Below are 23,839 nucleotides of genomic sequence, written 5' to 3' on the forward strand. Positions count from 1 at the left end.
AACTATCTGATCTTTGACAAACCTGACAAAAACAAGCAATGGGGAAAGGATTCCCTATTTAATAAATGGTGCTGGGAAAACTGGCTAGCCATATGGAGAAAGCTGAAACTGGATCCCTTCCCCTTACACCTTATACAAAAATTAATTCAAGATGAATTAAAGACTTACATGTTAGACCTAAAACCATAAAAACCCTAGAAGAAAACCTAGGCAATACCATTCAGGACATAGGCATGGGCAAGGACTTCATGTCTAAAACACCAAAAGCAATGGCAACAAAAGCCAAAATTGACAAATGGGATCTAATTAAACTAAAGAGCTTCTGCACAGCAAAAGAAACCAACATCAGAGTGAACAGGCAACCTACAGAATGGGAGAAAATTTTTGCAACCTACTCATCTGACAAAGGGCTAATATCCAGAATCTACAAAGAACTCAAACAAATTTACAAGAAAAAAACAACCCCATCAAAAAGTGGGTGAAGGATATAAACAGACACTTCTCAAAAGAAGACATTTATGCAGCCAAAAAACACATGAAAAAATGCTCATCATCACTGGCCATCAGAGAAATGCAAATCAAAACCACAATGAGATACCATCTCACACCAGTTAGAATGGCGATCATTAAAAAGTCAGGAAACAACAGGTGCTGGAGACGATGTGGAGAAATAGGAACACCTTTACACTGTTGGTGGGACTGTAAACTAGTTCAATCATTGTGGAAGTCGGTGTGGTGATTCCTCAGGGATCTAGAACTAGAAACACCATTTGACCCAGCCATCCCATTACTAGGTATATACGCAAAGGATTATAAATCATGCTGCTATGAAGACACATGCACACGTATGTTTATTGTGGCACTATTCACAATAGCAAAGACTTGGAACCAACCCAAATGTCCAACAATGATAGACTGGATTAAGAAAATGTGGCACATATACATCATGGAATACTATGCAGCCATAAAAAATGATGAGTTCATGTCCTTTGTAGGGACATGGATGAAGCTGGAAACCATCATTCTCAGCAAACTATTGCAAGGACAAAAAACCAAATACCTCATGTTCTCACTCATAGGTGGGAGTTGAACAATGAGAACACATAGACACAGGAAGGGGAACATCACACACCAGGGCCTGTTGTGGGGTGGGGGGAGGGGGGAGGGATAGCATTAGGTGATATACCTAATGCTAAATGACGAGTTAATGGGTGCAGCACACCAACATGGCACATGTATACATAGATAACAAACCTGCACGTTGTGCACATGTACCCTAAAACTTAAAGTATAATAATAAAAAATAATAAAAAAAAATTAAAAAATTTTTTAAAGAAGTGTAACTTTCTATAGCCTCTGGAAATTAACTTAGAAATATCTATTAAGGAACTTTTAAAGGAGATTTAATACCCTTTTAAATACTTTTAGAAAAGTAACCTTAGGAAATAGAGATATACACTGAATGTCTTGTTGAAATGGAGCTGAGAGCTGGTCAGGAACTGAAGAGGGGTCCTGAGCTCTATCTAGAGGTCAACACTAAAGTTTGAGCTTTGTGACTAAGGATATATAAAGGTTTTATATATCAACATTAAGCTGTATCTATAATTGTGAAAAAAATCTACATTTTCTATATTACTATTATAATCTTCCTACTTAAAAGGAAAAAAACAGTAAAATGTTTAAAAATATATAGCTTTGATTCAGATGGGAAAATACAATTTAATATTGATATTTTACTGTTCATTTATCAAATTCCTAAACAGAACATTTTAGTGGGATGGTTCCTGGTATTTTTCTGATAAAGGAAAAAGAAGTTCAGGAAAAATAAGCAGTCACCATCAATAAAATTTAAAAGTGTCCTAAACATTTATCAACATTTTCTCCCCAAATTGACAGTGTTAAAAAAAGTTTATCTGAGCTATTTTTTTACAGATACAAAGAAGCTGTTGTAGCTTATGAAAATGCAAAACAGTGGCAAAGTGTAATCCGCATCTATCTGGATCACCTCAATAATCCTGAAAAAGCTGTCAATATTGTTAGAGAGACCCAGTCTCTGGATGGAGCCAAAATGGTAGCCAGGTAACATAATACATTAATATTTTTGGACTTTCAAAAACTAACCATAAAAGTAAGCCTCTGCCTTCTATCATCAAATATATTAATTCAAAAGGAATATTTAGTCTTTATTTTTTTATCAGGTCTAAGCGTTTAAATTCAAAGGCTGTCGTGGTCAGCAGACAAGAGTATGTCTTTCAAGTGTAAGCATATAATATAGAACTGCATGCTGGGCATGGTGGCTCACACCTGTAATCCCAGCACTTTGGGAGGCTGAGGCAGGTGGATCACCTGAGGTCAGGAGTTTGAGACCAGCCTGGCCAACATGGTGAAACCCCATCTCTACTGAAAATACAAAAGATTAGCTGGGTGTGGTGGTGCATGCCTGTAGTTCCAGCTACTTGGGAGGCTGAGGCAGGAAAGTCGCTTGAACCCAGGAGGCGGAGGCTGCAGTGAGCTGAGATTGCACCACTGCACTCCTGCCTGGGTGACAGAGTGTGACTCCATCTCAAAAAAAAAAAAAAGAACTGCAATTTATCTAAAAATTTTGATTTTTAAATGGTTTCTCCTGGTTGAAAAATTTTGTAAATCACAAATTTATATTAAGAGTCTAGCTAATTAAAGTACTTTGCTTTAGGTTTTTTCTACAGCTTGGTGACTATGGGTCTGCCATCCAGTTTCTTGTCATGTCCAAATGCAACAATGAAGCTTTCACACTGGCTCAGCAACACAACAAAATGGAAATCTATGCAGATATTATTGGTAAATATCATTTTTTCCCTGGTTCTCTTCAAGATGTTTATCATAAAAACACTTTGTCTCTTATGATCTAATTATCAGATTGGTATACATACAAGAATGCGCCTGGTGTAAATGTTTACCATTTATACATAGACACACATGTATCTATGTTATGTGTTGGATTTGAAGATCCCTGCTACTTCAAGGTGAGATGGTATTATTAAAAAGGACTATTTTCAAAAATTAAGGGTTTTTCTGTGTGAATTCCAAGAGAGGCTAGATTTCCCAAATCCTGCTATTTATCAGCCAGTAGTAAATCAAAGATTTCAAAATGAAGGTGATAGGAAATGCAAGATGATTTTTGAAAATGTAAATATTTTCATTAAAAAATTGAGTTACAAATTAAGAAAAATGCTTACTTTGGTGAACAGTGATATACACAAGATGTGTTTTTCAAAGATTTGGACAGTCCAAAGGATAATTTGATATTCTGAGAATGCCTGTTTAGAGGTTTTCTTCTCATGTTTGCAATTATTTTTAGAAACTACTGAAATAATTTTCAGATTTTCATTTCATGGACCATACATAATGTTATTTGTGTTTTGTTTTGTTTTCTTATTGTGCTAAAATATATATAATATAAAATTTCCATTTAAAAGTGTATAATTTGGTACATTCATTCACGTTGTTATGCGGCCATCACCACTGTCCATCTCTAGAACTTTTTCATCATCCCAGACTGTCCCTGTACCCGTTAAATAATAATTCCCCATTGCCCTCTTTCCCCCAGACCCTGGTAACCATGATTTTACTTTCTGTATCTGTGAATTTGACTATTCATGGTACCTCGTATAAGTGGAATCATAAAATATTTGTTCTTTTTGTGTTATTCTGTTTTTTAAAATCCACGAAATGACCATAAGAATTGATGTTAGGATTCACAAGAAAATATTTATTTCAGTCTTCAAGGAAACAAATTAATTAGGTAAAAGCTTCTTGGGATGCTTTGGCTTCCCAAATGACTTCTTGCAAAGTTATTAAGATAATTAGAGAAAACAGAGTTAAAAAAAAGAAAAGGAGTACAGATAGGCAACTTTAGAATTGCCAATGTTTAACTTGACAGATGACATTTCTGTCCTAACATTACTACCACCATTTCACTAAAGCAGTTTTTCTAAGTTTGTAAGAATATGGTTTGTCTTATATAAGATGTGTATATTGGTGGGGGGTGTGTGGGCCTCCTCCCACCTTCAAAACACACACATACTTTTCCCCACTTTGCTTTATGCCTTTCTCTTATAAACTCCCTCTTCCTCCAGCTGGAGGCGCAGCATGGTTGTTATACTTTAGTATTCTATTGGGCCCCAACTCCCACGGGTAAATGTAAACAATGAGTTGGAATTCCAGTAGCTTTTGGGGTCCTTCTTCCTCTATGCTTAATATATTTAAGCCCCAAGCCAAAGGAAAGACAGTCATATCTTTAACCAGCATCTACTGGCTACTTGAATGTCATCTTCCCTACTTGTCTGACAAATATACAGACTATTGTTTAAACCAGGCATTGCTGAGAGGTATGCATTCCATTTGTATTACTAACAAAAACCTTGTAATTTCCTCTCCTGGTTCACATTTAGAGTTAAAAAAAAAAGATGGAACAGAGTTACTATTTGGAGTAATTGTGATAAGTATGTTTTGTGATGAAAACAGACATTAATAATTACATTGATGTTTGCTGTTAAGAGTTTTTAATCACCTATTTTTAGATTTTATTTTCAGGTTAGCAATAAAAGGTAAACAAATTTTGCTCAGATATTTTACTCAGTAAACTTCTGTTACAGGTTCTGAAGACACTACTAATGAAGACTATCAAAGCATTGCCTTATACTTTGAAGGAGAAAAGAGATATCTTCAGGCTGGAAAATTCTTCTTGCTGTGTGGCCAATATTCACGAGTTAGTATTTGCCAAGAAAATATACACTGACTCCGCAGGAATAATTGTAGGAAATATACGTAAATGCCAGGAATAATTGTAGGAAATATATGTAAATGCCAGTAACTCCCACTCAGATTTGAAATCTCAGAGCTAACTCTGAAATATTCCTCTCCCTCCCACACCCAGTCACAACCTTCCTTCGTAATACCTCTCACATCTGTCACTTTCATTCTAACTACTGTCAGCTCAATCCAGGCCCAGATGACCTTGCTTCTGATTATTGCAGTAGTTTCTTATTTTTCCTGTTTTTAGTTTGTCCGCCTTTAGAGTTTGTCATCCTTCACTTTGTTCCCCAAATAATAGTTGCTTTCACTGTTACAGAGCCCCTTGGCCTAAGGCAGGGGTTACAGTGTCCAAAGAAGGGACATCATAAGTGAAGCTATGGGGTAAAGCTGCGCTTTGTTCATGTGACAGGGTAGGGACTACTGAATGGCACATGTCTTAAGAAGCCAGCTGTTTCTCACCTCCATAAAGTTGTTGTCATTTAGGAATCCAGGCCCTGTAGTGCCAGATCATACGATTTTTTCAAGAGAAACGGAAGCTTGGGGCTGCCAGTTTTGAAATATGTGCCCCAATATTTATAGAATACCTCACTGGCCAAAAAAAACATGTCTGTGTGTGAATTCAGCCTACAGGCCACCACCAACTTGTTGTTGCTGGCCTCTTAGATAAAGTCCAAACTCCTTAGCTGGCACTTAAGAGAAATTTCCATAGTTTGACCAACCAGCCAGAACTCCCTAATCTGGCACCCAGCTGTTTCCATGGAAGAGTCCCACACTCCTCTAACAGCCAGGCCTTCATCCATCCTGTTCTCCATCTGGGTTCCTCTCTGCTCTCTACACCACCTACCACAAACCTATTTGTCCTTCAAGTGACACCTTCAGGATCATCTCCATGCAAAACCATCTTTTCTTCCTCAGAGCACCTATTAAAAAAAAACACTAACAATCCAGTCCATTTGTCTTTTTATAGTTGTAAATTTCTTCCTAAGTGTGGTGTTACGGTGTTCAGGAATTAGACAATTATAACTTAAAATAATCGGTCTCATATTATCATCATATCACACAGATCTTCTTAGCAAGACTGTACATAACACAGAAAATAGGGGCCGTGCCATACCATTCCTGGTATTCTCCATGGGATCTAGCGAAGTCCCACACACATAGTAGCAGGTTGTCAGTAACTATTTGTTGAAAGAATAAATGAATGAAAATAATTAAATCTTCCTACTGAAAAGGGCACATTTTGCCTTTTCATTTCATCAGGACTAGATTCTTCAGAGGGTTAACTGGGTCCTTCCATTTTTTAAACTATATCCAGCTTTTAAGGACATATTTAAGATCCAACACCATGCAAGCCCCTGGTTGAGATGAAGATACTTTCACAGACTGTAATTACTTTGTGTTAAAGCTGTGTGAAAGCTTTGTTTTCCCTAATGTGAAAACATTCTGAAAATTTTTAATTGCTGTAATTCGCTTTTCAGGCACTTAAACACTTCCTGAAATGCCCAAGCTCGGAAGATAATGTGGCAATAGAAATGGCAATTGAAACTGTAAGTACGCTTTCAATGAAACTTTCAATAATGCCAATTTTTTAAAAAACTTCTTGAAAAAAATTTTAAATATATGCAGAAGTAGACCAAACAGTATTACAAACCCCTACATACCTATCGTGTAACTTCAACAGCTGTCAATACATAGACAGCCTCATTTTTTTCATACCCTCACCCTCTTTCCCCGGTTTTTTTTTTAAGTAAATCACAGTCACCATATCATTTCACTTGTGGATACAATATCAGTGTCTAAAAGATAAGAACCTTTGGATTTTCTTTTAGGTGTAACTTGCATACAGTAAAGTTCACAAATCCTAAGTGTACAACTCGATTAGTTTTTTCCTCTATGCATACCTGTGTACCCCCCACCCAGATCAAGATATAGAACATTTCCAGCTCCCAAAAGTCTCCACATGTCACCCCCCAGTCAATATCCCCCACCAAAGGTAACCACAATTCTGACTTATATTCTTATAGATTTGTTTTGCCTGTGTATAAACTTCATAGAAACAGAATCACACATGTGTCCTCTTATGTCCAGTTTCAGTCAGCATTATGTATGCAAATGTGTCCGTTTGTGTTATTGCACATAGCAGTAAGTCATTCTTTTTTTTTTGAGACAGAGTTTCGCTCTTTTGCCCAGGCTGGAGTGCAGTGGTGCAATCTCGGCTCACTGCAACCTCCGCCTTCCAGTTTCAAGCGATTCTTCTGTCTCAGCCTCCCAAGTAGCTGGGATTACCTGTGCCTGCCACCTTGCCCAGCTAATTTTTGTATTTTTAGTAGAGACGGGGTTTCACCATGTTGGCCAGGCTGGTCTCGAACTCCTGACCTCGTGATCTGCCCACGTCAGCCTCCCAAAGTGCTGGGATTACAGGTGTGAGCCACTGCACCCAGCCCAGCAATAGGTCATTCTTCTTCATTGCTGTGTAGTATTCTACTATATGACTGTACTACAATTTATTTACCCCTTACTCCGTTAATGGACTTTTGAGTTGTCTCCAGTTTGGGCATATTAGGAATAAAGCTGCACTAAAGCTGTTCATGTCTTTTGGTGAACAAAAACCCTCAGTTTTATTGGGTATATATCCAGGAGTAGAATTATTAGGTCATAGTATTCTAAATACAGGTCTTTTTGTCAGATATATGTTGCAAAAATCTTCAAAGGCATGGCTTGCCTTTTTATTCTCTTGACGAACATAAATTCTTAACTTTTAATAAAGTCCAACTCATGAATCTTTTATAGTTAGTGCTTTTTGGTCCCATTAAGAAATTTTAAGCTGGGTGCAGTGGATCACTTGAGGTCAGGACTTCAAGACCAGCCTGGCCAACATGGTGAAACCCCATCTCTACTAAAAATACAAAAATTAGCTGGACATAGTGGCGGGCACCTGTAATCCCAGGTACTTCAGAGGCTGAGGCAGGAGAATCACTTGAACCCAGGTGGCAGAGGTTGTAGTGGGCCGAGACTGTGCCATTGCACTCCAGCCTGGGCAACAAGAATGAAACTCCATCTCAAAAAAGAAAAAAAACAGAAAAGAAATCTCTGCCTATCCCATGATCATGAAAATATTTCCCTTACGTTTTCTTCTAGTAGTTTGTTCTATCTGTCTCATTTAGGCTTATGCCCATCCCGAGTTAATTAGGTATATGGTGTAAGGTAGGGGTCAAGGATATTTCTTCTCAGTGTGGATATCCTGTTGACCTAGCACCATTTATCAAAATACTATCCTTTCCACCACAGAATTGCCACAGAGCATTTGTCATAAATGAAATTACCATGTGGTATGAATCTGGTTTGGGATCCTCTAGTCTTTTCCATTGCTTTAGTCGTCTGTCCTTGTACCAATACGCCATTGTCTTGATTACTATATGTATTATATATTATAATCTTTCTGTTTCTGTGGATTTGCCTATCCTAGACATTTTATATAAATGGAACCATATAATATGTGGCCTTTTGTGCCTGCTTCTCTCATTTAGCGTCATGTTTTCAAGGCTCTTCCATGTTGTAGCATGTGTCAAGAATTCATGCCTTCTTATGGCTGAATAATATTCCATCGTATGAATATACCACACATTGTTTATTCATCAGTTGGTGGGCATTTGTTGTTTCTTCTTTTTGGCTATTATGAGTAATACTGCTATTAACATTTGTGTGTGAGTTTTCATTTCTCTTAAGTGTATTACTCAGGAGTGGAATTTCTAGGCCATATGTAAACTCTGTGTTTAACATTCTGAGAAACTGTCCAACTGTTTCCTGAAGCAGCTGACCACTTACATTCCAACAGGCACTGTGTGAGGGTTCCAGTTTTTCTAACAACAATTCCTTGATATTGTCAGCTATCTAGTTAGGGTTTGAATTTCTTCAACTCTTGCATAAATGCTTTCATACAGTTTTTAGTTCACCTCAGTATCAAGACAAGGCTCATGTATTACATTTAGTTTATATGGGCCTTAAGTCTCTTTTCATCTCCCTTCCCCTCCCTTATTCTCTCCTTCTCTCTCTCTCTCTCTTCAACTCTATATCTCCTAAACACCGCCCCCACACGCATACTTGCTATTTATTTGTTAAGAAAATGGGTCATTTATCCTGAGGAATTTCTGACATTTTGATTTAGCTAATTACATCCTTGTGGTATAATTTCCCTGTATTTCCCACTAACTAGTAGTTAAATCTAGATACTTGATCAGATATGGATGATATTTCTGTAAAAACAACTTCATAGATGGTACCGTGTACTTCCTATTCTCATCACAGCAGTAGGGCCACATCTTTTTTTTTTTTCTTTTTTTTTTTTTTTGAGACAGAGTCTCACTTTGTCACCCAGGCTGGAGTTCAGTGGTGCGATCTCAGCTCACTGCAACCTCTGCCTCCTGGGTTCAAGTGATTCTCCTGCCTCGGCCTCCAGCAGTAGCTGAGATTACAGGTGTGTGCTACCATACCCAGCTAATTTTTTTGTACTTTTAGTAGAGACAGGGTTTCACCATGTTGGTCAGGCTGGTCTCCAACTCCTTACATCAAATGATCTGCCTGCCTTGGCCTCCCAAAGTGCTGGGATTAAAGGCATGAGCCACCACACCCAGCCTAGTAGGGCCATATCTTAAATCAACTTGGGCTGCCATAACAAAATACCATAGTCTGGTTGACTTCTGGAGTTTGGGAAGTCCAAGATCAAGGTGCCAGTAATTTGGTTCCTGATGAGGGCTCTCTTCCTGACTTGCAGACAGCAGCCTTCTCACTGTGTCCACACGTGGCCTTTCCTGTACATGTATGCAAGGAGAGAGATTTCTCTCCCTTCCTCTTAAGGCTACAATCTAACCCTAATTACCTCCCAGATGCTCCATTTCCAAGTATCATTACATGAAGATTGGGGCTTTAACAGATGAATTTGGGGGATGTAGGGGGACACAAACAGTTCATAATAGCCCATATTTTTTTGGTCTCTTTTTTGTTGTTTCGTTGTTGTTGTTTTTTGTCGCACAGGCTGGAGTGCAGTGGCACGATCTTGGCTCACTGCAAACTCCACCTCCTGGGTTCAAGTGATTCTCCTGCCTCAGCCCCTTGAGTTGCCCACCACCACACGCGGCTATTTTTTTTTTTTTTTTTCTATTTTTTAGTAGAGACGGATGTTTTAGCATGTTGGCCAGGCTGTTCTCAAACTCCTGACCTCCGGTGATCCACCCACCTTGGCCTCCCAAAGTGTTGGGATTACAGGCGTGAGCCACCGCGCCCGGCCTGGTCTCTCTTTTTATGGTGTTAAGATTGATTATTGGGTGTAGGTGTGGTCAGCCTGATCAATCTATGATAAGCTTTCCCATCAACTTTTCACCTAATGATCTCAGCAACCATTGATGATTATTACTTAGATTGGGGTGTCCAATCTTTTGACTTCCCTAGGCCACATTGGAAGAAGAAGAAGACGACTTGCCTTTAATTAATAAGTCCAGAAGGGCTCTGATTTGGGTAGTTCAAGTGTCCATTGCAGGTTTAATCAACTGGTGGCCACAGGGATGGAATATCATGCCTGGGCAAATTGGGTCAAATTCCCACCACTAGACAAAGTTCAGTAGCCATGGAGATGGGGTCTGTTAAGACATGGAATTTCCACTAGAACTCCATGGTTGAAGTGAAGTAGAAGCATCTCTCAGAAGAGCTGAAGGAATGAATATTAGACAAAATTATGGATGTCCCTTGCAGCTGTCAAATTTCTCTCCTTTCATTAGTATTCTGTAATCCCACAGTACTTTCTCATTGTTGTGTTTCTAATGGACTTTGTTAAATTTTATTAAGGCCAAGGACATGTAGTGAGTGAAACCAACATATTTGTACTTATTGCTGGGATTACTTCATTCAGACAAGTCCATTCTGAATTTTACTACTGGATTTTTTTTCAAGTGCAGCTGCAAGTCATTTTATTCTCAAGCTGCAAAACCTATAGTGGCTCCCCATTGCCTCCACAATTCATTCCCAAATTATCCTTCATGGATCATAAAATATTAGAAATACCTGGAAGTGAACCAGTCTAACCTTCTTCACTTTACTGATGGGGAAACTGAGGTGCCAGAAGATGATATGACTAACCTACAGACACCCAGATAGAAAGTAATTGATCTGGGACTAAAACCAAAGCTTCCTTTCCTTCCCACTTACCTCTTACACTCCTCTTAGGTCAGCAGCCTGTGCTACAACTAAATTGGCCACTTTTTTCCCCCCGTTTTGAGACAGGGTCTCTCTCTGTTGCCCAGGTGGCACAATCAGAGCTCACTGCAGCCTCGACCTCCTGGGTTCAAGCAATTCTCCCACCTTAGCCTCCCAAGTAGCTGGGACTACAGACATGCCACCGCACCCGGCCAATTTTTTATTTTTGTAGAGATGGGTTTTTGCTATGTTGCCTTGGCTGGTCTTGAACTCCTAAGCTCAAGTGATCCTTCCACCTTAGCCTCCCAAAGTGCTGTGATTACATGTGTGAGCACAGTGCCCAGCCTTAAACTGCCCTCTTTTATTTGAATAGTTCAGGGCTCCGCTTCCTTCGTTCCTTCACTCTTGCTCCTTACACCTAAAACACCCCTCCCGCTGCACCTCTGCATCTCATACCCCTACCCAATAAGCCTTTCCTAAACTGTCCTCGGGATGAAATTTCACCCTCCCTAGAATGGTCTAAGCACTTTGAATGTCACTTATTGCTATAGTAAGTCCCTTCAGATTTACAAGTTCCTCAAGGTCCGGAACCCATCTCTTCAAGAGAGTGTTTAGCACATGGCAGTCACTCAGTATTTGTTGAATTGAGCACATGTTGGTCCCCAGCTCAGTGAAAACAGATGATACAAGTTTCCTTCCCAATCCTCCATTTCTTTCTTTCTTGGGGACCTTCCCCTGGGGAAAAAAAAAATCACTTTTACTCGTGACTTGCATTTTCTCACAATCTGTGTGCTCTTTCACCTGGTGATTCGCAGCCAGAAGCCACACCCCTGAGTTACTGGGTACATCGTCAAAATGCTTGTGCTTCACCCACGCCCACCCACCCCCAATCCTCAACACCTCAAGGCTCTGAAATGCCTCCTTGGTTTATGGAGGGGGAAGGGAAGTACGAGGCCCCTCACTGGGAGATGATGGGGAAGGTGGGGCTCACTGGTGTCCCTCAGGTGAGTTGGGAGAGTCCTCCTTACCTCCTTGCACTCAGCTTCTGCCTTCCCCACTCCATGAACTTGCTTGAAAAGGTCCCCACAGATCTCTCACTTGCTAAATATAGAAGTCTCGTCTCAGTCTTCACCCTACTCCATGTTACGGTCACATTTTACCCTATTATACTACGTCTTTCTGGACATTTTTCCCCTCAGAACACTGCATCTTCTGTTCTCCACTTCCTTCTCAGATGGTCCCTTCTCAGCCTCCTTCCCTGGCCCCTCTGCCCCTTCAATGCCAGTGCCCCTCAGCATTCCATCCGCACCCTGCCGTGAGTTGCCTTTGCCTGGCCACATCTATTCCCTGCTGGCTCTCCTGTCTGCCTGTCTGTCCTGACACTTCAAGTGTGCTCCACTCTCCCTGGGGGCAGCTGCCATTATTGCTGGTGATAAAAGCAATAGGGACAGCCGGGCATGGTGGCTCACACCTGTAATCCCAGCACTTTGGGAGGCTGAGGTGGGCGGATCACCTGAGGTCAGAAGTTCGAGACCAGCCTTACCAATATGGAGAAACCCCATCTCTACTAAAAATGTAAAATTAGCCGGGAGTGGTGGCATATGCCTGTAATCCCAGCTACTCGGGAGGCTGAGGCAGGAGAATCACTTGAACCCGGGAGGTGGAGGTTGCGGTGAGCCAAGATCATGCCATTGCACTCCAGCCTGGGCAACAAGAGCGAAACTCCATCTAAAAAAAAAAAAAAAATAGGGACACCTACTGAGTGCTGACCCTAGCAGTGGAGTAGCCACATTTTGCATATGTAATAGTGAAAATTACTTATTGCTTCTCTGAAATTTAAATTTAACTGGGAATCCTGTATTTTTATTGTCTGTATTTGACAGTCCTGTCTACTTGGCACCTGTCCAAGCCCTGTACATGTATTGACTTATTTAATCCTCACAACAGTTCTGTGAGTTAGGTGCTATTATTGCCCATATTGAGGCCCCAAGAGTAATCTGCCCACGATCACATGGGTCTCAAGTAGTGTCACTAAATTGACCTCCAGCAGGCTGGCTCCAGAGCCTTTGCTTTAACCATTTCTCTGTCCTGGCTTATTCACCCAAAGCCATCCACAGAAGCCATCAAGAGAACAAGCTCTCATTTATGTACCAACGTCCCTGCTTTACCGAAGTGGCAAGAGCAGAGGTGACACAGATTGGTGAAAGCCTAGCTTTTTCCCCTGACGATGACCACAGGCAGGGCAGTGTGCAGAAATCCTGCAGCCTGAGAGCCTCTGCACCTGCAGGTTCAGGGTCATCTCTTTATTACTCAAGTCTACTGATTGCATCCTTCCTCTGCCAGACAGATAACTTGCAGACTTGTCCTCATACCTCCCCTGAGGTGTAGCAAGCAAGGCCATGTGTGGCTGAGTCCCCAGTGATCATCTCCTCCATTTTCCAGTGGCTTTTCTCATTGTAATGTCATTACCATGACAAGACTGTTCAGTGTTCCTTCCCCTAAGCTGAGCTCCAGGTGTGTTTTTGGCTCACCCCTTTTTAATAGACACACAATTCTGAAGCCTCCTAATTTTGTCAGTAATTCCCTAGTGCCTCCCCTAAATTCCTGACCTCACACATTCTGTTCCTATTAAACTCATACATGCCCATCCTGCAATGTGGTACATTATTTTTCCTGCTCAACACCACCCAATACTTCAGTGATTTAACTCGCCTTTATGGAGATGACGTTTTTTTTTTTTTTGAGACAAAGTCTCACGCTGTCGCCCAGGCCGGAGTGCAGGGACGGGATGTCGGCTCACTGCAACCTTTGCCTCCCAGGTTCAAGCCGATTCTCATGCCTCAGCCTCCCGAGTAGCTGAGATTACAGGCACGCACTACCACACCCAGCTAATTTTTGTATTTTTAGGAGAGATAGGATCTCGTCATGTTGGCCAGGCTGGTCTTGAACTCCTGGCCTCAAGTGATCCACCCACCTCAGCCTCCCAAAGTGCTGGGATTACAGGCATGAGCCACCGTGCCTGGCCTGGAGATGACTTTTAAGTAAAGATTTCTAAGCCAGCCTTCCCTCCAGAACCCCACCCATGTTTCAGCTGCTTGCTCTTGTCCAGGCTCCCCTGGCTGGGACCCTCACTTCTTTACACTTTCAATGACATGTAGTCATGCGCAAGTACATTTCCTCAGGGAGCCGCTGCAGAGGAGGGCCCCTGGAATGATACCGTTGTGTCAGTGCTTGTGCTTAAGATGCTGTCCTCAAGGTGTCATAGTCATTTAAGAAAGTTTTTATTAAAACATCCAAGGGCCAGGCACAGTGGCTCATGCCTGTAATCTCAGCACTTTGGGAGGCTGAGGCGAGCAGATCACAAGGTCAGGAGATCGAGACCATCGTGGCCAACATGGTGAAACCCCGTCTCTACTAAAACTACAAAAATTAGCTGGGTGTGGTGGTGCATGCCTATAGTCCCAGCTACTCGAGAGGCTGAGGCAGGAGAATCACTTGAACCGGGGAGGCGGAGATTGCAGTGAGCCAAGATCATGCCACTGCACTCCAGCCTGGTGACAGAGCAAGACTCTGTCTCAAAAAAAAAAAAAAAAAAAAAATCCAAGAAGTACATTCTCTGTGCATGTGAAAGAAAATATGGTATTTTGATACAGCAGCTAAGAAAAAGCTTCTAAGGATGGATTTTTATTAATGGAGACTCTAGCAACAAATGAAGAAAGGCCCTGATCCTATGTCATATTTCAGGCACTTTACTATAGATACTATTAATGTTTTTTATTCCATCTCCCTAAGCAGAAGATTGTCTTTTTCTCCACTCTTGCTCGGTTTAAGATGCTGAATTTGCTGGGTTTTTCTCTCTTATTAAACAGGTTGGTCAGGCCAAAGATGAACTGCTGACCAATCAGCTGATAGACCATCTCCTGGGGGAGAACGATGGCATGCCTAAGGTACTGAACACGTGGGCTTCGTGTGCATCCTCAGGTCTCAGTTACAGTTTGATTCTGCCTGTTTTTACCCATCATGCTTTTACAACATAGACATGAAAAATTTTCTCTCTGCCAGTAGTGTAGATCATCTAGACCAGGAGCGTCCAATCTTTTTGCTTCCCTGGGTCACATTGGAAGAAGAAGAATTGTCTTGGGCCACACATAAAATACACTAACACTAACAATAGCTGATGAGTTTAAAAAAAAAATCGCAAAAAAAACTCATAATGTTTTAAGAAAGTTTACAAATTTGTGTTGGACTGCATTCAATGCTGTCCAGGGCCACATGTGGCCTGCAGGCTGTGGGTTGGACAAGTTGATCTAGACAGACCCTGCGTTTTGGAGGATAACGTATATTCACTCTTTAAAATTGGCTTTGCCACCTATGAGATAGCCATGCCCCTCTAGATAACAATCCTCACCACATACAATTTTTCTCAAATGTTATAATTTTGTTTATTCTAGGAACTATGAAAAAAGATCACTGATGTTGCAACTATGACCTAGCATTCATCTCTAAAACTCAGAGGGTGCTTTGTTTACATTTCAAAAATTATGGAAGTTAACAAAAATCAGATTAAGCATAAAGGTAGTTCTCTATAACATAAAATAGAAATAAATTGGCCAGGCGCGGTGTCTCATGCCTGTAATCCCAGCACTTTGGGAGGCCAAGGCGGGTGGATCACTTGAGGTCAGGAGTTGGAGACTAGCCTGGCCAACATGGCGAAACCCCGTCTCTACAAAAAATATAAAATTAGCCAGGCATGGTGGCATGCGCCTATAGTCCTAGCTACTCAGGAGGCTGAGGCAGGAGAATTGCTTGAAGCCAGGAGGCAGAGGTTGCAGTGAACCGAGATTGTGCCACTGCACTCCAGCCTGGGCGACAGAGTGAGACTCCATCTCAAAAAGAAAAAGTAAGAAAGAAATCATTACAAGCATATTTTCAAAATATGCGACTCACTGTGGCTTCCTACAGAACGTCCATCTTCTCCCAGTCCTGGTGAGGAGAGACCCACACACCTTTGAGAATGCCCCAGACCTCCTTCCCCTTTGCTTTATGTTCAAGGAGATTTGCTGGTGAAGAACTCAAGTCACTGATTGGAAACGAGGGCAATAGAATGTCACAGCTGGAGAGGACCGTAGTGGTCCCTGAGTCCATTTTCTGCATCTTACAGATAAAGCCACAGAGACCCAGAGCAGCTCAGTTAACTTGCCAAAGGATACAGGCCCTTCAACTGCTCCAGCCACCTCCCATGGTGTCCACTTATTCCAATAATTTGAAAACCAGCGTCAGATGCTCGCAGCTGTCTAGAGTTGGAATAGGAATGGAAAATGGCCAAAGGCCAAAGAAAATGTTATAGGTCAGAGAAAATTGATATGCATATAAAAATTATGGAAAGTTTGCAAAGTTCATATATCATGTAAGAATATATTTTGTTTCCAAGTACATGAGAAATACTCTGTGGAGTAGGGTCAGGAATAGACTCAGATCCTGTGGTTCAAATCCTGACTGGCCCCCTCCTGTTGTTTCAGCTTCTTATCTGTGAAATCGGGATAACAATAGTGCCTTCTTCCTAGGGTGGGTATGAGGATTTAAATGCATTAGTATTTCTCAAGTACTTAGAATACCACCTGGCCATATTGAGCTCTGAATAAATGTTTAATAAATAAACGAATTCTTTATTCATTGAGTTTTTAAAGCAATATCAATTCTCAGTTACTGGCAGATGAATGTGATTCTAACTGCAATACAAAAATGTAATCTCCCCTTAGCTAATGAAGAAAGTAATGTTTCTATAATGGTTTATGTGTCAGGATGCCAAGTACCTGTTCCGCTTGTACATGGCTCTGAAGCAATACCGAGAAGCTGCCCAGACTGCCATCATCATTGCCAGAGAAGAGCAGTCTGCAGGTAGGTCCGTGATACGTATGTGTTACTTCCCAAGCAGGCAGCAGAATCAAGCCCCAGCCCCTTTTCTGTGTAGGAAAGAGTAGCCCCTACGTTTGTAACATAGGCTTGCTTTGAACCCAAAAGACTAAAGAGATGACCATTTCTAGGTTTCAGAGGGGTTAAACAATGTACTATCCCAGGAGACTGTATAAATGTAAGAGACTAAGACCATCTCTTGTCAAGTGCTATTTCCTCTCCCCCACAACCTCAGAGGTTCTGTCTCATGAATGATGTCTCCTCTCACCCCTCCAGCCCACAACCCCCTTCCTACAGTCTCACGGCATTTTCTTTCCATTCCCTGTGTTTGGCCTTAACAATATGAGACATTAGGCGATGGAGGGTAATGATGCGGTGCTGTTACAGACCTAGTTCTTTATAATATGCAGAGGCTTGATAGACTCTTCAGGATGGTTCTGCTCACATGTGCTCTGTCAATACTTATTGAGTGAGTAAGAGGATTAGTCTGATATCTTCATTAATTTTTATGAGCTGATCTTCTTAAATCTTTATAAATGTGGACACAATTTTGGAAAATATGCAGTCAAATAAGTCATTACTTTATTCAGCTTACGTTGATCTAACAACACCTTCTTCCTGTCAGATGCGTGCTAGGAGCTCAGGATACAGAGAGAACTGAGCCACAGTTCAACCCTCAAGGTCATGATTTGATGGGAGAGACAGAAAGTAAATTCAGAGTTGGACGGGATGACAAGTGCCAGACTAGAAAGAGAAATAGGCTGAAAAGGCACAATTAAAATAAGAGCGACTGCTGGGTTACCCACAGCATCCTGAAGGTTGGGGTAGGGAGAGTTGGAGGATGGAGACGAGAGAAGGCAATGAAAGCTTTACCTGAGTTTTGAAAGGATGGGGGAGCAGGTGACGAGGGGAGTGGAGGTTGCTGGGAGCCAGAGTGCTGGGATTTGGGGAAATGGGGAGGTGGGGAAGTGCTGGGATGAGGAAAAGTGCTGGCAAGGCTGCAGCATTTACACACCTGGAGAAGAAAGGGAGGGAAAATCAGGCCAGAAAGGAGCGCAGAGGCCGATCCTGAAGGGCACAAGTCCTCTGCTCAGGAATTTGCACTTCCAGGCGTGAGTGGCGCCATTGGAGGGTTTTATGCAGGGGTGTGACCTTGAGTTGTTTGGGTGTGGATCAAGGCTTGAGGGTTTTGAAGGCATACTCTGACATCAGATGTGGGCCCAGAGCAATCCTGATGAGCACTACAGCAGAAGGAAATGATGAGAAGCATTCACAGTAGGCATGGGAAGGGAGGCTGGAATTGGGAGACTGAGAGTTATACTCAGAACTCCATGGCCTGGTGGACTTCAGGGCCAGGGGGGTGCCCTGAGGAAGAGTAAGACATCAAGGAGGACACCACCATTTTTCACCAGAGCAACTGGCTAGATGTTCATAACATCAATTAAAATAGGAAATCTGGCCGGTCACAATGGCTCATGCCTGTAATCCCAGCACTTTGGGAGGCCGAGGAGGGTGGATTTCTTGAGCCAAGGTGTTTGAGACCAGCCTGGGCAACATGGTGAAAACCTTGTCTCTACAAAAAACACAAAAATTACCCAGGCATGGGAGGATCACTTGAGCTTGAGAGGCAGAGGTTGCAGTGAACAGAGATTGTGCCCTTGCACTCCAGCCTTGGTGACAGAGCGAGACCCTATCTCTGACAGACAGACAGACAGATAAATAGGAAATCTGCTGAGTTGCTTTGAATAAGACATTATTAAGAGATTACTAATAACAAGATTAACAAAATCCACTAGTAAGATGGGGGTCCATAGAATGTCCTCAGATGTCACCCTTTGCAGTAATGTCGTTTTACCACCTTTTTTCAAGGCAACTACCGGAATGCACACGATGTTCTCTTCAGTATGTATGCAGAACTGAAATCCCAGAAGATCAAAATTCCCTCCGAGATGGCCACCAACCTCATGATTCTGCACAGCTATATACTAGTAAAGGTGAGGCCCATGGAGTGACTTGGGACATAACCTGCCAGGTGTTTGTCCCCCATTGAGATTTTCTCCAGGCCCTTCTCCATTGGATTCGAGTGATTGTCTAGATGTCTGTATTGTTAAGTAACAAAACAAGATACAGAACATATCTACAATACGCTGCTTTGTGTGGAATGAGGCACGGGGCAGGAGGCACAGTACCAAACTCCAGTGTGGGGACAGGGAGACGGGGAGATGAGGGGGACCAGGCTTCATCATGTGCATCTTATTATAGTGTGTGGGTTGTTTTGTTTTGTTTTTGAGACGACGTCTTGCTCTTTACCCAGGCTGGAGTGCAGTGGCACGTCCTCGGCTCACTGCAACCTCTGCCTCCCAGGTTCAAGCAATTCTTCTGCCTCAGCCTTCCAAGTAGCTGGGATTACAGGCACACACCACCACACCCAGTTAATTTTTTTGTATTTTTAGTAGATATGGGGTTTCACCATGTTGGCCAGGCTGATTTCAAACTTCTGACCTCAAGTGATCCGCCCGCCTTGGCCTCCCAAAGTGCTGGGATTACAGGCATGAGCCACCACGCTCAGCTTTCTTATATTGTTTTGATTTTGAAACATGTAAATGTATTGCCTGTGCCAGAAAAATAGATTTACTTAAAACATCTTTCTTTATGCAAAACTTGTTAGTTTATTTATTCTGTTAGTGGATTTCATAAAATTCCACTGTTTTGTAAATATTGTTTAGTTTTCATCCAAATATAAAAATAATACATATTCCCTAAGAAAGTTTAAAAAATATAGAAAAGAATTTTTTTTTTTTTTTTTGAGATGGAATCTCACTCTGTCACCCAGGTTGGAGTGCAGTGGCCCGATCTTGGCTCACTGCATCCTCCACCTCCCTGCTTCAAGCAATTCCCCTGCCTCAGCCTCCTGAGTAGCTGGGATTACAGGCAAATGCCACCACACCCGGCTAATTTTTTTGTATTTTTAATAGAGATGGGGTTTCACCACGTTGGCCAGGCTGGTCTCGAACTCCTGTCCTCAGGCAATCCACCTGCCTCGGCCTCCCAAAGTGCTGGGATTACAGGCGTGAGCCACTGTGCCCGGCCAGAAAAGAATTTTTTAAAAATTCGTCCTTTAAGTCCATCACCCAGATATAACAATTGTTAATAGTGTTGTATATATTCTTTGTACTTCTATAAATGCATGTTTTTTACCAAATTGGGATTATGTTTAGTTGTGTATATTCTGTTTTTTAAATCAGTAATTATCAATACAAACAAAAATAGATCCTGCAAACATCAAGTACTTGTATGTATAATTTACATAAATGAGGCTGGGCATGGTGGCTCACACGTGTAATCCCAGTACTTTGGGAGGACAAGGCAGGAGGATCACTTAAGCCCAGGAGTTTGAGGCTGCAGTGAGCTATAATCACACCATGGCACTCCAGCCTGGGCAACAGAGCGAGACCTCAACTCTAAAAAAAGACACAATACAACTTACATAAATGTCATGTATATTCATGTGTACATTTATATATATACATATCTCTGTAAAGATACAGGCAGACTCCAACTTACATATTTTTTCAAATATTCATTTATGTCGCAGTACATCTTTCCGTATTAATGCTAAATTGGTTCTCTGACCTGTCCACAAGAGCAGTCATGTTATGAATGATTTACATCCTAATTATTGTCTATATCAGCACTGTCCAGTAGAATGTTCTACAGTGATAGAACTATTCTATACTGTACTGCCCAATATGGTAGCCACTAACCTGGCTATGGAGCACTTGAAATGCAGCTAGTACAGCTGATAAACTACATTTTTAATTGTATATGATTTTAACTTTTAAATTTAAGTAGCCATACGTGATTAATGCCTACCACAGGAGACTGCACAGGTCTATAATGCTGATTCTAAGGGAAATGCATCTGGAGTTATAACTTGCAACCTCCAGGAGTACACTTCCCTTCAGAGAGGCAGGAGGATCCTTCTTCCATAAAGAAGGGGGTTTGAAGGAGAGAAGTCTTTCTCAGCTGCAGACATGAGTGGTGATTCAATGTCCTGGAAGCACAGAATCTAACAAAATGGAGTCTTTAGGAGTGCAGGGGGCACAGAAACACATTGGTGAAAGATGCGGGGCAAAAATAGGAATTCCTATAAGAGGCCCTCTTGCAACAGAGCTTTCTAGCACCATAAGCCACAGGGGTGCTTCTTGAGTCCTTTTCTTTTTCTCTGGCCCCAAGGGTTGGCATCATTCCACACTCTCACCAAGTATCCTCAGCCCTGACCCCACATCTGTCTGCTTCTCTCCATCCCCACTGCCCCACCTTTTTGGCCTCCTTGTCTCACCCCTGGATGACTGCAGTGGCTTCATGTCCTGGCCCCTGCTGACTCTCGAGGCTCACCCCATCCTAAACGCACCCCTCGATGTGTCACTGACCCTCCTGGTCCTTGCCCAGTCTCAGGCCTTCTGCCCGTCATTGCCCTCTTAGCACAGACACGGCGCCTTTCCTTTAGCAGATCATTCTCTCTCTCTCTACCTGATTCCTGACTCACACAGCTTTTGGGTCTTACCAGAACTTGGTGAAGTTGGTCCCCCAAGAATGGCCAGTAAGAGATAGACTGGGGATTTGAACCCATACCAAGTGGTCTAGGGCAAAGTGAAAAGCAGAGCATAGAGTAGGTGAGGCCATGGGGCCAGGCAGTAGCTGTTGAAGAGAAAAAAGTGGAGGGATCTCTAATGGCATCAGCCAGGAAAGTCTACAAGGATCCCACAGTGACCCTGGGCCATCATCAAGGAGTTGTTTATTTGGGGGAACAAAGCATGAATTGGGGCTAATCAATGACTATAAGAAGAGTAAAATATGTCATTTGTTTCAGATTCATGTTAAAAATGGAGATCACATGAAAGGGGCTCGCATGCTCATTCGGGTGGCCAACAACATCAGCAAATTTCCATCACGTAAGTACCACTGACCAGAGCTCTCACCCATGCCCCATGCCCCATGCCGCATGCTAGCCCAGCGCCCCTTTTGCAGGCTCCCCTCATACACTAACTCGTTTAATTCTCACAGCAGCTCCATGAAGTGGTATGTCAGGGCCCCAAGACCACTCCCAGGTTTGATGACTCTTCACTGGGAGGATTTACAAGAGTCAACACACAGTAGTACCAAAGCCGAGATTTATCACAGCAAAAGGATCTGAGGCAAAATGAGCAGAAGGATTCACGCAAAGGCGAGCAGGTGCAGGCACGGACCTCCAAGAGTCCCTTCCCAGTGGAGCACACAGGACGCAAGTTCCGTAACTCCTCCACGACTGACTTGTACAACATGGTGAAACGTAGAGTGCCAAGAAGCTCATTAGAGACTCAGCAGCCAGGAGTTTTATTGGGGTGTGGTCACATAGGTGCCCCCTGCGTGGCATGTGCCCAGTTTTCCAGGCTCCCAGAGAGCAGGTGTTCGGCATAAACCACGTTGTTTGTACAAAGATTTTAGGCACGGTGAGCCACTCATCAGTTCTGGAAACGGTGGGAACCGTCTCCAAATCTATGTTCCAGATGCGAGCCGAGGGTTAGCTGTTCAAGCCTTTCCAAGGATGACAGTCTCAGGCCTGCACACACAAGTACTTTTCTGAACAAACTGGGACAAAAGAAATAACATTTGCCCAAGATCACATTGTCAGCTAATAATAGCCTGACTCTGTGTTCACAAGCACGGTAGGACGTTGCCTCTGAAAAGGCCTCACTATTCCAAAAGACATGTCATGATAACATTCTTAAGTGATTAAATACTGTCACATTACATGACAGGGATCAGCAAACTTTTTCTGTAAAGGACCAGATGTTAAATATTTTAGACTTCGTGAGACATGTGGCCTCTGTCACAACTGCTCAACTCTGCCATCTTCTCATGAATAATACGTAAACGAATGGGCATGACTGTGTTTCAATAGAGCTTTATGTTTGGACACAAATGTTAACCACATACACTTTTAACATGTCACAAAAATATTTTTCTTTTGATGTTTTTTCAACCATTTAAAAATGTAAAAATCATCCTTAGCTCATGGACCATACAAAAAGTCAGAGGGCTAGATTTGGTCCATGGGTCATAATTGGCCAACCCACATTCTCTAAGTGTATTTTTGTTGTTGTTACATCAAAGTCTACCATGCGGGCAAGGTATGGGATAGGACAGGCACTCTCATGACTGCTGGTGGGGATGGAAATTGGTATGGCCTTTGCAGAAAGCAGTTTGGCAATTTGTGGTAAGAGTATTTTTTAAAAGGTCCTGTTTTTGAGCCGGTAATTCTGGGTGTCTGTCCTGAAGAAAGAATTTGATGCCTGCAGAGAGATTAGTGTATAAAGTCATTAATCCCCCTAATGCTTTTATCAGCAGTCCTGTCAGATGCAAAAAATATCTAAGAGGCATGAAAGGAAACTCATGGAAGTGTTGCCTCAAGGGGTGCAGGTCCTAGTGTTACAAGGCAGAACATGGTGTCATCAAAGGAAAAGCACTTGATGGGCAGTTAGCCTGACCCCACAGCTACGTACTTTCCTCATTAAACAGATCATATCTGGTTCTTTGCAGAAAAAGCAAAGTTCAGAGACCATGACCCTGTTTTCCTACAGAACCAGGGTGGAATCCCGCCTGTATCACTGAGGACAGCAGACACTGTGCTGTTGCTGCTCTCCCCTTTTCTCTTGCAGACATTGTACCCATCCTGACGTCAACTGTGATTGAGTGTCACAGGGCAGGCCTGAAGAACTCTGCTTTCAGCTTCGCAGCTATGTTGATGAGGCCTGAATACCGCAGCAAAATAGATGCCAAATACAAAAAGAAGATCGAGGGAATGGTCAGGTAGGCAGAGATGGCTATTTCTGCTATCTAATCGTATTTCTCAAAGTATTTCCAAAAATGTAGCTGCCAGTGTGCAAGCTCAATAAGAAAACGG

General features: G+C 42.2%; 1 protein-coding gene across 9 annotated transcripts in view; it reads left to right on the top strand.

Annotated features, from left to right (window-relative positions):
- The window catches only part of WDR19 (WD repeat domain 19), a 103,282-nt gene that overhangs the window by 68,685 nt on the left and 10,758 nt on the right, over positions 1-23,839 (top strand). For 6 of the 9 annotated variants that reach the window (XM_011513724.2, NM_025132.4, NM_001317924.2 and 3 more), the window contains 9 exons: positions 1,933-2,079; positions 2,693-2,817; positions 4,635-4,747; positions 6,273-6,341; positions 14,850-14,927; positions 16,782-16,878; positions 18,763-18,887; positions 21,767-21,848; positions 23,595-23,745. In XM_011513724.2, coding sequence (XP_011512026.1) covers positions 1,933-2,079; positions 2,693-2,817; positions 4,635-4,747; positions 6,273-6,341; positions 14,850-14,927; positions 16,782-16,878; positions 18,763-18,887; positions 21,767-21,848; positions 23,595-23,745 — 987 coding nt within the window. Of the gene's footprint in view, positions 1-1,932; positions 2,082-2,692; positions 2,818-4,634; positions 4,748-6,272; positions 6,342-14,849; positions 14,928-16,781; positions 16,879-18,762; positions 18,888-21,766; positions 21,849-21,960; positions 23,746-23,839 lie in introns of those variants that run through there. The other 3 variants (XM_047416031.1, XM_047416032.1, XM_047416034.1) reach the window with 2 other exon arrangements.

This window comes from Homo sapiens, chromosome 4, assembly GCF_000001405.40.
Source record: "Homo sapiens chromosome 4, GRCh38.p14 Primary Assembly".
In the NCBI taxonomy this organism is placed as follows: Eukaryota; Metazoa; Chordata; class Mammalia; order Primates; family Hominidae; genus Homo; species Homo sapiens.